Raw genomic sequence first — 12,261 nt, 5'->3', positions numbered from 1 at the left:
GGGTAAGAATGAGAACGAGTCAGCCTGGGGTTCTAAACTGAGATGTCTGAGCCACCCTCCTACACTCATCAACAGCCCTTTACTCTCATTGACCCTAAATACCAACTCCCCTTTTGCCTAAGAGACCTGAGGGAGGGGCGCTTACCCTCACCATCTGCAGCCTAAGCGCTGTGTTCCCTGGGATAGGCTCACCAGTCTGTAGGGTGGGAGAGGACTTTTATAGGATAGAAGCTGGAATAAATGACTGGCTGGATTGGGGTTTCAGAAAGGTCATCTCCTACCTCAGTAGGATGTAAAACTGTGGTCCACAGGACCTCATATCCCAGTCTTTGTTGTTGTTTAGAGACTCAATATGTTAATGAGTTGAATTACAAAGTTAATACACTTGTAGTAATTTAACAGTAGAGAAATGTCTAAAGTTGGCCGGGCGCAGTGGCTCATGCCTATAATCCCAGCACTTTGGGAGGCCAAGGCAGGTGGATCACCTGAGGTCAGGAGTTTGAGACCAGCCTGGACAACATGGTGAAACCCCTCTCTACTAAAAATACAAAAATTAGCTGGGCGAGGTGGCTCATGCCTATAATTCCAGCTACTCAGGAGGCTGAGGCAGGAGAATTGCTTGAACCCAGGAGGTGGAGGTTGCAGTGAGCCAAGATCGTGTCATTGCACTCCAGCCTGGGCAACAGAGCGAGACTCTGTCTCAAAATAATAATAATAATAATAATAATAATAATAATAATAATAATACCAGAACTAAAAAGTTGTTGTGCCTCCCATATTGCCCCTTAAGGACCAAACTGTCAGGAATGTCTCCCAGCTGGAAAGGGTGTTGGATGCTGATAGCTCACAGCCAAGTTCCTCTCCACAGATTTTGCCTTCAGCAGATACGAGTTGGCTCTCACAAGGTGTTGCCTCCTTGCCAAAACCAGTCAATGTCCAATGGCTGGTCATTCAAGGCTATAATGGCCTGGCCCTCTGACCTTAATTTGGTATGACTCGGAAGGAGCATTCCTCCTCTGGTGCTTATTGTGGGGTTGTCTGAGGCCTCTGCTGTGGGGCAAGTGAGGCACTTGTTTGGCGTGCAAAATTTAAGGGGGCACTCCAAAACTCAATACTTTTAAAAGTCAGAATTAATGCCAAAAAGAAGCCATGATGAAAAAAAAATTTTAAATAAAGATAGGACCTGTCTGCATTTCATTTTCCTCTGCCTTCCCTGATCGGCTTTTGATCTGTCTTGATTAACTGGATTGGTGAGCTGAACTCAGTGTGCAAGTTTGGATCGCAATTAATATAAGCTAACACGTGGCTTTGAATGTGCTAGGTATTTTGTCTTTATCACTTATAAAATGTACAGTGAATTAGTTTCAAGGTTGTGTACTGTTTTTAGATAATAACATAAAGTAATAAAAAAAAGCCTAGGATGAGAATTATAGTTCATAAATTGTTCCTGTGGTTGTTTATTGATCAACAATTATTTATTGAGGATGTATAGTGTGCCAACCACTAATCTAGACACTTGGAAACAAAACAGAGTAGGCTGCTTGCCTTCAAGAAGCTTATGTTCAAAGAATTGATTAGGCATTCCCTTAAGATATTAATGAACTGGAGAGAAACTCACTATATTCCAATTTTCCTTTCCTTCTAGCTAATAGTCTTTTGTTTCCTAGCTCCAGAAAGTTTAGTGTATCCTGGTGCTAAAGATAAATTAAGGTCAGGCACAGTGGCTCATGCCTGTAATCCTAGCACTCTGGAAGGCTGAGGTGGGCAGATTGCTTGAGTCCAGGAGTTTGAGACTAGCCTAGGCAGCATGGTGAAACCCTGTCTCTACAAAAGATACAAAAATTAGCCAGGCATGGTGGCACATGCCTGTAGTCTCAGCTACTTGGGAGGCTGAGGTGGGAGGATCACCAGAGCCCAGGAGGTAGAGGCTGTAGTGAGCCGTGATTGCACCACTGCACTCCAGCCTGGGTGACAGAGTAAGACACTGTCTCAGAAAAAAAAAAAAAAAAAAGGGATAAATTAAGTGCTTAATAAAGTGCTTCTAAGAATTTTCTTTCTTTTTCCCCTGACACTGGCCTTTTATCTTCTATCTATCAAAGTGTAAGACTGTCCATGTGGCTGCAAAATCCTCTACAAATAAAAGTATACCCCATGAGTACACACATGAGATCACTTTTTCAGTTCTATTGTTCATACAGGCACAAGCAAGAAAAAATTTGAGAGAGAAGAGTATCATGATAGTACAATCTTGATCCATGATCTTGAGAAAAAGCTGTCTACATCTGGGATGCCATCTGCTTCTGGAGAGAATCTTCCCTGGTTAGCTTTACCTTAAGGTTTCCAATCAGTATACAGTTCCAAGAGTCTGGAGGAGGCCCTTCTGAGTTGTGAGATTATGAGACCAAGGTTCAGGATCTCAAAGTTTTGCTGCATTGTGGATGCCAAGGGCAGTTTTTCTGTGATGTTGCCCTCAGAAGACCCAATCGATCTCCAGGTTCTAGATTGTGAAAGGTTTGATTGTCCTCAGTCAGTGGACTATGAAAGTTTTTTTTAACCTGGTGAAAATACACTTTGGCATAATGCATTAAAACCTTGTAGCATTTAGTCATATCAGTATTTAGTAGCAGAAGATACAAGACGTTCTATTATTAGGTGCATAGGCCTTTCCAGTGACTATTTATTTCATAAGGGGTCAACTTCCATCTTCTACTGGAAGTGGATCTGATTGTCATCAATCTGGTACACCTTTGACCAAGGCAATCTAGTCAATTCAGTTAGCTTTGCCTAATGTTATTGTATCTGCAATCCTTTTTTAAAAACTGGCCAGCCGCGGTGGCTCATGCCTGTAATCCCAACACTTTGGGAGGCCAAGGCAGGAGGATCGCCTGAGGTCAGGAGTTTGAGACCAGCCTGGCCAACATGGTGAAACCCCATCTCTACTAAAAATATAAATATTAGCCAGGCATGGTGGCAGTTGCCTGTAATCCCAGCAACTTGGGAAGCTGAGGCAGAAGAATCACTTGAATCCGGGAGGCACACGTTGCAGTGAGCTGAGATCATGCCATTGCACTCCAGCCTGGACAACAGAGGGACATTCTATCTCAAAAAAACCAAAAAAAAACAAAAAACTGTTTTATGGCCAGACGCCGTGGCTCATGCCTGTAATCCCAACACTTTGGGAGGTCGAGGAGGGTGGATCACCTGAGGTCTGGAGTTCAAGACCAGCTTGGCCAACATAATGAAACACCACCTTTACTAAAAATACAAAATTAGCTGGGTGTGGTGGCACATGCCTGTAATCCCAGCTACTTGAGAGGCTGAGGCAGAAGAATCACTTGAATCTGGGAGGCAGAGGTTGCAGTGAGTCGAGATTATACCATTGCACTCCAGCCTGGGCAACAAGAGTGAAACTCTGTCTGAAAAATAAATAAATAAATAAATAGGCCAGGCGCGGTGGGTCATGCCTGTAATCCCAGCACTTTGGGAAGCTGAGGTGGGCAGATCACCTGAGGTCAGGAGTTCAAGACCAGCCTGGCCAACATGGTGAAACCCCGTCTCTACTAAAAATAGAAAAAATTAGCCGGGTGTGGTGGCAGGCGCCTGTAATCCCAGCTACTAGGGAGGCTGAGGCAGGAGAATTGCTTGAACCCAGGAGGTGGGAGGCGGAGGTTGCAGTGAGCCGAGATCGCGCCATTGCACTCCAGCCTGGGCAACCAGAGTGAAACTCCGTCTCAAAAAAATAAAAATTAAAAAATTAAAAAAAAACAAAATAAATAAATAAAACTGTTTTTACAACTTGTCCAGTGAAATAAGTATTAGTACTTCTATCACTACAACCAGAAAACATGCACTGAAAATGACAATTGAATAAAATTCTTCTATAAAGGTTTAAGTGACCCATCAGGTAGCAGAAATGTACTTGAAGTTGTGTTCATCTTCCCAGGATTATGGGTTTAACAAACAAAACATTGATCATAAACTATTTTAGCAATTTAGAACAGTCATCATACACACCCACTCACGCACACACATACACACACATTTAATTTGGAACATTTTATCTCTTCATGATGAATCATGGAAAGCTTAATAATGGAGGCTTTAAGGACTCAGGAAGGGCCAGGCAGCCATCAGGGTTCTCCATGAGTCTGCGCCTAATATTGGACTTATATTTTAATACCAACTGTGTTTCCCCAATTTAGGTGCATAGCACTGTTTATTAGATGGGTTAGCATAGGTAATTTGAGTTGGACCATGGAATTTATTCAAATTGCACATCTTAACAATTTCCATACTGGCTGATCTAGTATGACAATTTGGCAAAGTATTTTCTTGGTATTCAATTATTTATTTATTTATTTGAGACAGGGTCTCACTCTGTTGCCTAGGCTGAAGTGCAGTGGTGCAGTCTCAGCTCACCGCAACTTCCCCCTCCCAGGCTTAAGCAATCCTTCCACTTCAGCCTCCCAAGTAACTGGGACTACAGACATGCACCACTATGTCCGGCTAATTTTTATATTTTTTGTAGAGACAGGGTTTCCCCATGTTGCCTAGACAGGCCTCAAACTCTTGGGCTCAAGGGATCCTCCTGCCTTGGCCTCCCAAAGTGCCGGGATTACAGGCATGAGGCACTACCCCAGCCTTCAATTAATTCTTGTCCTGTTTGGGTTAGCAGTTTTATAAACCAGTCATTCCTTTTATTAGAGTTCTGAGAATTCTTACCTAGTCCAAATGATGTGATCCTAAAGTTATCAGAAAGCTGTATTTTTTTTTTTTTTTGAGACGGGGTCTCGCTCTGTTGCCCAGACTGGAGTGCAGTGGTACGATCTCAGCTTACTGCAACCTCCACCTCCCAGGTTCAAGCGATCCTCCTGCCTCAGCCCCCCTAGTAGTGGGGATTAGAGGCACATGCCACCATGCCTGGCTAATTTTTATTCTTTTAGTAGAGATGGGGTTTCACCATGTTGGCCAGGCTGATCTCGAACTCCTGACCTCATGATCTGCCCGCCTCAGCCTCCCAAAGCACTGGGATTACAGGCGTGAGCCACTGTGCCCAGCCGTTTTTATTCTTTTTTAGAACAGGGTCTCACTATTTTGCCCAGGCTTGTCTCGAACTCCTGGGCTCAAGTGATCTTCCTGCCTCAGCCTCCCTAAGTACTGCGATTGCAGGTGTGAACCACCACACCTGGCTTCCTTTAGATTTTTTAATTTCTTGTCATGAAGTGGTACAAAAAGTAGTCTTTTATAATTATTTTATTCTCATCTCTCTGCTTTATTTTTTAAGTGGCAGACTTCTCTACCATGTTTTTCTACACTATTATACAATGTAAAGAACAAGGGTTTCTACTGGTAAATGGTCTTATTACTCATCTAAAATATAAATCTTTTTATTTATCAAGAATCATAAGACATATTTTAAATAACTATGTGACTTCACGAAGCATAAGTAGGCCAGGCATGATGGCTCATGCCTGTAATCTCAGCACTTTGGGAGACTGAGGTGGGAGGATCACTTGAGCCCAGGAGTTCGAGACCAGCTTGGGCTACATAGGGAGACCCCCCCCCGCACCATCTCTAAAATATATATATATAGTTAAAAAAAGAATAATTAGTGTAAGAGATAACAATGGCTCATAAATTGTATTACTGTTGATCACTTATGATATAATCTGAAATCACAACGAACTGCTGAGGGTTTCGTACAAAAAAAGTTTAATTTTTATTTCCAAATAACTTTAAAAAGCTAGAACAGCTTTTAGATTTTGAGACGGCCATCTCAATATATTTGTTTATCTTCTGCAGAATGAATAAAAAGGATTATTTTTAATTTCTTAAGCCAGTCTGAGAGCCTCTGTCTCTGAAGCCAGTCTGAAAAAATCTTTGCATTAATTATACTGATTCATTTATTTTGCAAATATTTTACAAATACATATTAAAGCACCTGTATGCCCTTTCTTTTCTAGGCACAATGGCATATCTGTGAATAAAATTGACAAAGTACTTACCTTTAAGGAGCTTATACTCTCGTAAAAGGGAGACAATGAAGAAACAAATAAATGAATCAATGTATAATGGGACAAGCGGTGATAACTACCATGAAGGAAAATGAAGTAGGGGCCGGGTACAGTGGCTCACGCCTGTAATCCCAGCACTTTGGGAAGCTGAGGTGGGCAGATCACCTGAGGTCAGGAGTTCGAGACCAGCCTGGCCAACACGGCAAAATCCTGTCTCTACTAAAAATACAAAAATTAGCTGGGCATGGTGGGGCATGCCTGTAATCCCAGCTACTTGGGAGGCTGAGGCAGGAGAATTGCTTGAACTCAAGAGGCGGAGGTTGCAGTGAGTGGGGACTGCACCACTGCACTCCAGCTTGGGTGACAGAGCAAGACTCCGTCACACACACACACACACACACACACACACACACACACACACACACACAAATAAAGAGGGATTCAGGCAGAGGGAACAAAAGTGCTACATTCCTGCAGGAATAAAGTGCTTAGCAAGCTCATATAATAGCAAGGCAGTGCCAATGTGACTGGAAAAGAATGAGTTTCAGGCCGGGTGCGGTGGCTCACGCCTGTAATCCCAGCACTTTGGGAGGCCGAGGAGGGCGGATCACGAGGTCAGGAGATCGAGACCATCCTGGCTAACAAGGTGAAACCCCGTCTCTACTAAAAATACAAAAAATTAGCCAGACGCGATGGCGGGCACCTGTAGTCCCAGCTACTCGCGAGGCTGAGACAGAAGAATGGCGTGAACCCGCGAGGCAGAGCTTGCAGTGAGCCAAGATTGCGCCACTGCACTCCAGCCTGGGTGACAGAGCGAGACTCCGTCTCAAAAAAAAAAAAAAAAAAAAAAGAATGAGTTTCAGTAGAAGAGAGGTAGGTAGCAGGGGGGCCAATTAGCTGCTTATTGCTGATTTCATTATATGAATATATCAGGATATAGCCATTCTACAGTTTTTGATGTTTGGGCTATTTGTGATTTTTTTTTGCTATTATGAACAATGGTACTATGTCCATTGTACATGTTTCCTGGTGCACTTGTGCAAGAGTTTTTCTACAATATATACCTACAGGTAGAATTTCCTGGTCATAGTGTATAAAAATGTAAACAAGGTCATTTTTACTACATAACAAGAAATTGTTTTCCGACGTGGTTGTACTGATTCACATTCTCTTGAGAGAATTCTCTTACAAGAATTTTGGGTGCTCTTCTTTTAGTTTGTCAACTTTGTCGTTGTAAATATCTAATTGTGACTTAATTTGCATTTTACTGATTACTGATGAGATCTGGCGTTGTCAAATAGATCACTTCCCTTTTTTTGAAGTGCCATGGCTTGCTCTCTAATTTTTACAGGTTATTTAAACTTTCTTTTTTTTTTAAAAGAAAAAGGCCAGGCATGGTGACTCACCACCTGTAATGGCAGCACTTTGCGGGGCCGATGTGGGCAGACAGCTTGAGCCCAGGAGTTCGAGTCCAGCCTGGGCAACATGGTGAATCCCTGTCTACAAAAACTACAACAATTAGCTGGGCATGTTGGTGCCTGCCTATAGTCCCTGCTACTTGGGGGGACTGAGGTGGGAAAATCACTTGAGCCTGGAGGTTGAGCTGCAGTGAGCTGTGATCATGCCACTGCACTCCAGCCTGGACGACAGAGTGAGACTCTGTCTCAAAAAAAAAAAAAAAAAAGAAAAGAAAGAAAGAAAAGAAAAAAAAAGAAAGTCCAAATAGGATTGGAGGGGTAGAAAGGGAAAAAGAGGTGTGAGGAAAAAGGTGTACTGAAAATCCCTCAGTGGGCCGGGTGCTGAGTTGAGATTGCGCCACTGCACTCCAGCCCAGGCGACAAGAGCAAGACTCCCTCTCAAAAAAAAAAAAAAGAAAAGAAAAGAAAATTCCTCAGGGGTTTTCTAACACTATTTTTATTTTCATTTTATTTATTTATTTATTTTGAGATGAAGTCTTGCTGTTGCCCAGGCTGGAGTGCAATGGCATGATCTTGGCTCACTGCAAACTCCACCTCCTGGGTTCAAGCGATTCTCCTGCCTCAGCCTCCCTAGTAGCTGGGATTACAGACATGCGCCACCACACCTGGCTATTTTTTGTATTTTTGGTATAGACGGGGTGTCACCATGTTGGCCAGGCTGGTCTCGAACTCCTGACCTCGTGATACGCCTGGCCTCTGCCTCCCAAAGTGCTGGGATTACAGGTGTGAGCCACTGCACCTGGCCTCACTATTTTTATTTTTAACAGCTTTAATTTTAACTTCATTAGCTATATTAGCATCCAATCTGTAAAAATTATTACATTGGAATCAGGCGTGGTAGCTCACAGCTGTAATCTGTAATCCCTGCATTTGGGAGGCTGAGGCAGGAGGATTACTTGTGCCCAGGAATTTAAGGTTACAGTAGTGAGCTATGGTTTCGTCATTGCATTCCAGCCTGGGCAACAGAGTGAGACCATATCTCTAAATACATATATATATGATTACTTTGGATTTGAGAGTAGAGTCAGAGAATTTAGAGGAAACTAGGCTGTGGTTTTCACACGATATTTTTCCTTGTTGCTTTTGCCTTTATGCAAAGTTTTCCTTTGTCTTTGGAGAGTAGAAAAACTGTGGATTTTTTTTTTTTTGAGACAGAGTCTCACTCTGTTGTCCAGGCTGGAGTGCAATGGTGCGATCTTGGCTCACTGAAACCTCTGCCTCCCGGGTTCAAGCGATTCTCCTGCCTCAGCCTCCCGAGTAGCTGGGATAACAGGCATGAGCCACCACGCCCAACTAATTTTGTATTTTTAGTAGAGACAGTGTTTCTCCATATTGATCAGGCTGGTCTCGAACTCCCGACCTCAGGTGATCAGCCCGCCTCGGCCTCCCAAAGTGCTGGGATTACAGGCGTGAGCCACCGCACCCGGCTGCAAAAGACATACTTTATAAAGGTCCAAGGATAATGGAAATAGAAGACATTAATGTAATATGTTCTTGGGAACTAATTGGATACACCAAGTATTATCTTTGACTAGTTTCTGGACTTCTGCTTCATTCTGCAACCTGCAGCCAACTACCATGGTGTCCATCTATTATTAGGCGCTTTAAATAGCTCCTTAATTCACATTTACTCTCTTCAATCGATGTGTCAGACTGTGGGGGCCACTTAATTCCCATTCCAAATTCTTGGGAAAGGAATTTAATTGGGTTGAGCTTAGGTCAGGGGCTTACTGAAAGAGCAATCAACTGGGGCCCAGGGACAGGGTGCACTGTGTGAATGAGGCTGCTTTTTCTGCAAATTTGTCAAGTAGAGGCAGACTGGACTAGCTACATAATTTGCAGGGCCCTGGGCAACATGAAAATGCTGGGCTCCCTAGTTCAAAAGTTTCATTATTGTTTCCAAAAGTTTGCAATTGCAGACAATACTGCGATTAATAAACTTGTGTATGTGTATTTTTCCATTGTCGGAGACCTAGCCCGAGTACTATTTTCTGCAGCGAGCCTTTGACGTTGTTTCCTTTTTCTGATGAGCCACAGCATTTATAGTAGGAATTTGTTCATATAAAATTTGCTCTTTCGCTAGATACCAGTAACTGGACTTCTCTAATTGCTTTGGGTATTTCATTGGAGTTCTGTATGACTGAGCTCCGGGAAACTCAGTCCACCCCTCATTCCAATTCTTTTTCACAGTCTTTTTCACAGCGTCCCTGTCAACACTGTTTGGTAAAGGGTAAAACCTTAGATAATAAGGTTTTTATTATCTTAACACAGACAGGCCTAACATATGTTGTCGTACCTTTCTGTAGGATCAATAGCATATCTTTACAAATGAGAAATAATTTTCACGAGACCGAAACACCCTGCAACGCCACCTACATACAGGGTAAGTACGCGCCTTGGTGAGGTCAGCGGCGCTACACACCCGAGCACTAGGGGACGACCTTCCCTGGTTTCTTGCATTAGCAGGACTTGTCCGGAACCTTTCCTGCGGAGTCTGAGGTAGCCCGCCCGGACAACGCCGCTGAACACACAACAGGGCAAGAACTAGTAGGTTAACTGTATGCCTGGAATTTCTACCTCACCTACATGTTCCCGGAGCAAATAATCTTAAATTGTCGCGCTATTTAAAGTCCCTAGTGACGATAACATTGTTGTACCTCAGCAAAGATCATAATTAATTGTTTCCGAGAGAGTGTATGCTTGATTTTGGTCAGGCATATATTTGGGCAGCCCACCTGAAACGAACAAGGAAGGCGGGGGAAGAAAGCGGAAGCCGCGGGGCCTTCTAAGGCCGAAAGTCTTCGGAGCTTGCGCCAGTCTCTTCGCGGCGTCCACCACTTAGACGCAAGTTGCTGAAGCCGGCCGGGGAGAAGGTGTTGTTGCCGGAGCTGAGACCGGGCGGCCACAGTCCGCAGGGATGAACCTCGAGTTGCTGGGTGAGAAGGGCTGTGGCTGCGTTTTAGAGAAGCGTTGGGTACTGGAAAGGAGGGAACCCAGGCGGGAGGGGAGTCAGGCTGCAATCTTAGGGACACTGTTCGGCTATGGATCACTGGGCACACCTGATGTGGAGCAGCAGCGGGAGGAGGAAGCCCACCTTCTGCCCGAGTAGGTTGCATTGCCCCTCCCGAGGCCACTTTCATATCAATTATGGAGCGATGGGGACAGACAGTTTGTGACTTAGCTTTGATTATGAGGATCGCAGGTGTTGAAGTACCCAGAGCAGCCAGGACCAGAGTTGTTGGAGATGGAATTTGAAGAAGTGAGGCTTGGGATGAAGCTTTGAAGACTTGTCAGGGAATTGGGTGCCTGAACAGGTTAATCTTTTTGTAGAAAAGAGAAGTCTAAGGAGGGGACTTGGAGATCTTCTGGTAGAAGCTTCTCATTGAACAGATGAATAAAGGCTCAGAGGGTAATGGCTAGGCACTAAGCAAGTAAATGGCATAGTTGGCACTGGAATCCAATTATCCTAACTTTCTGTTTAAGGTCCTTTGCTAGGGACGGTGTGTAAAACACTGAGGTGTGAAATACGGAGGGAGTTGTCTTTTGTCGCCCTCACTTTGAGTCATTGCCTCCTTACCTCCTATCCAGATTATTTAAAAACTGTAGGTCCTTTCTCCTGGACTTCCATTAGGTGACATTTAGCATGGTATTCTAGGGGTAGCTGAGGTTTTCAAGGACTTCTGCACTACTTGCTGTTCCTAATGGTTAGGTTTCTCTTTTAAAAAAGTCAGAAGATATGTTAATTGTCAAAAGGGCTACAAAGATACATAAAAAATGGTCTTTGCCCTTAAAGAGCTTTTCATTAAGCAGGGAGTTTAAGGTGATTATGTAAAATAGCTGTAGGATATTGCAGAATGTAGGCAGGCCTGAAAGAGTCATTACCAGTTGCTAAGAATGTTTGGAACAGAGAGTGAATGTCTTTGGGGTAAAGGAAGAAGTCAACCAGGAAAAACAAACCCCCCAAACCTGTGGAGGAGTTGGAGTTTTAAGTGGACTTTTTTTTTTTTTTTTAAGACAGCCTCGCGCCGTCGCCTAGGCTGGAGTGCAGTGGCACAGTCTTGGCTCACTGCAACCTCTGTCTCCTGGGTTCGAGTGATTCTCGTGCCTCAGCCTCCTGAGTAGCTGGTACTACAGGTGCGCACTGCCATGCCTGGCTAATTTTTGTATGTTTAGCAGAGATGGGGTTTCACTGTGTTGGCCAGGCTGGTCTCAAACTCCTGGCCCCAAGCAATCCACTCACCTCAGCCTCCCAAAGTGTCCGGCCTTAAGTGGATTTTTAAGGTTGGTAAAATATCAACAGGCTGAAGTATGAAAATATGGGAGGGATGTTCAGTAGGCATCAGTGAGAGAAGACCTAAAGAATTTTCCTGCTTGGCCAGGTTGTGGATAAAGAGAATGCCAGGGGATGGGATCGGTGCCATCTATTTTGTGTTGGTTCTCGAATGCCTAGCTCAAAAGTTTGGGCTTTTTAGGGAAGGTAGGGTAGATCCATTGAAGGATTTTGACTTAGTAACTCAATCAGAGCTATGAGTTTGTAAGGTTTGTCTGACAGCAATGTGGAGTTGAGTTTTGGAGGAGTGTAAAACCAGTTTGGAGGGGTAGATTATATGAGTGATGAGGAAGGCCTGAGCTAGGAAATAGAAAAGACATTGAGGAGGTAGGGATGACAAATTTGAGAATAGATTGCATATAGTGCTGATGAGTAAGAGAGTGACGTGAAAAATGGTGAGAGCAAATAATGATGCTGTTGATAAAGTGTAAGGTCATTG

General features: G+C 43.8%; 1 protein-coding gene across 9 annotated transcripts in view, besides 4 other annotated features; it reads left to right on the top strand.

The window, feature by feature from the left end:
• Window positions 9,328-9,622: a silencer, noted in NCBI's record as "tiled region #3970; HepG2 Repressive non-DNase unmatched - State 4:PromP". NCBI's record gives its function as "represses a minimal TATA promoter and a strong SV40 promoter by Sharpr-MPRA in HepG2 cells {active_cell/tissue: HepG2}" and the evidence as "EXISTENCE:reporter gene assay evidence [ECO:0000049][PMID:27701403]".
• Window positions 9,984-10,203: an enhancer, noted in NCBI's record as "active region_2375". NCBI's record gives its function as "activates an Ori minimal core promoter by ATAC-STARR-seq in GM12878 lymphoblastoid cells {active_cell/tissue: GM12878}" and the evidence as "EXISTENCE:reporter gene assay evidence [ECO:0000049][PMID:35858748]".
• The window catches only part of RBBP5 (RB binding protein 5, histone lysine methyltransferase complex subunit), a 35,837-nt gene continuing 33,880 nt past the window's right edge, over window positions 10,305-12,261 (top strand). For all 9 annotated transcript variants that reach the window (XM_047426902.1, NM_001193273.2, XM_047426907.1 and 6 more), the window contains exon 1: window positions 10,305-10,428. Coding sequence is in view for 5 of the 9 variants with exons in the window: in XM_047426905.1 (XP_047282861.1) it covers window positions 10,410-10,428 (19 nt within the window). In the remaining 4 variants the exon portion in view is untranslated. The remainder of the gene's footprint in view (window positions 10,429-12,261) is intronic.
• Window positions 10,344-10,523: an enhancer, noted in NCBI's record as "active region_2374". NCBI's record gives its function as "activates an Ori minimal core promoter by ATAC-STARR-seq in GM12878 lymphoblastoid cells {active_cell/tissue: GM12878}" and the evidence as "EXISTENCE:reporter gene assay evidence [ECO:0000049][PMID:35858748]".
• Window positions 11,687-12,245: an enhancer, noted in NCBI's record as "H3K4me1 hESC enhancer chr1:205089166-205089724 (GRCh37/hg19 assembly coordinates)". NCBI's record gives its function as "activates a minimal SCP1, AML or CMV promoter by ChIP-STARR-seq in naive H9 embryonic stem cells {active_cell/tissue: H9 hESC(naive)}" and the evidence as "EXISTENCE:reporter gene assay evidence [ECO:0000049][PMID:30033119]".

This window comes from Homo sapiens, chromosome 1 (assembly GCF_000001405.40).
Source record: "Homo sapiens chromosome 1, GRCh38.p14 Primary Assembly".
Taxonomy (NCBI): Eukaryota; Metazoa; Chordata; class Mammalia; order Primates; family Hominidae; genus Homo; species Homo sapiens.
The sequence above is the reverse complement of the archived record's forward strand: the minus strand, read 5'-3'. Positions and strand labels throughout refer to the sequence as shown.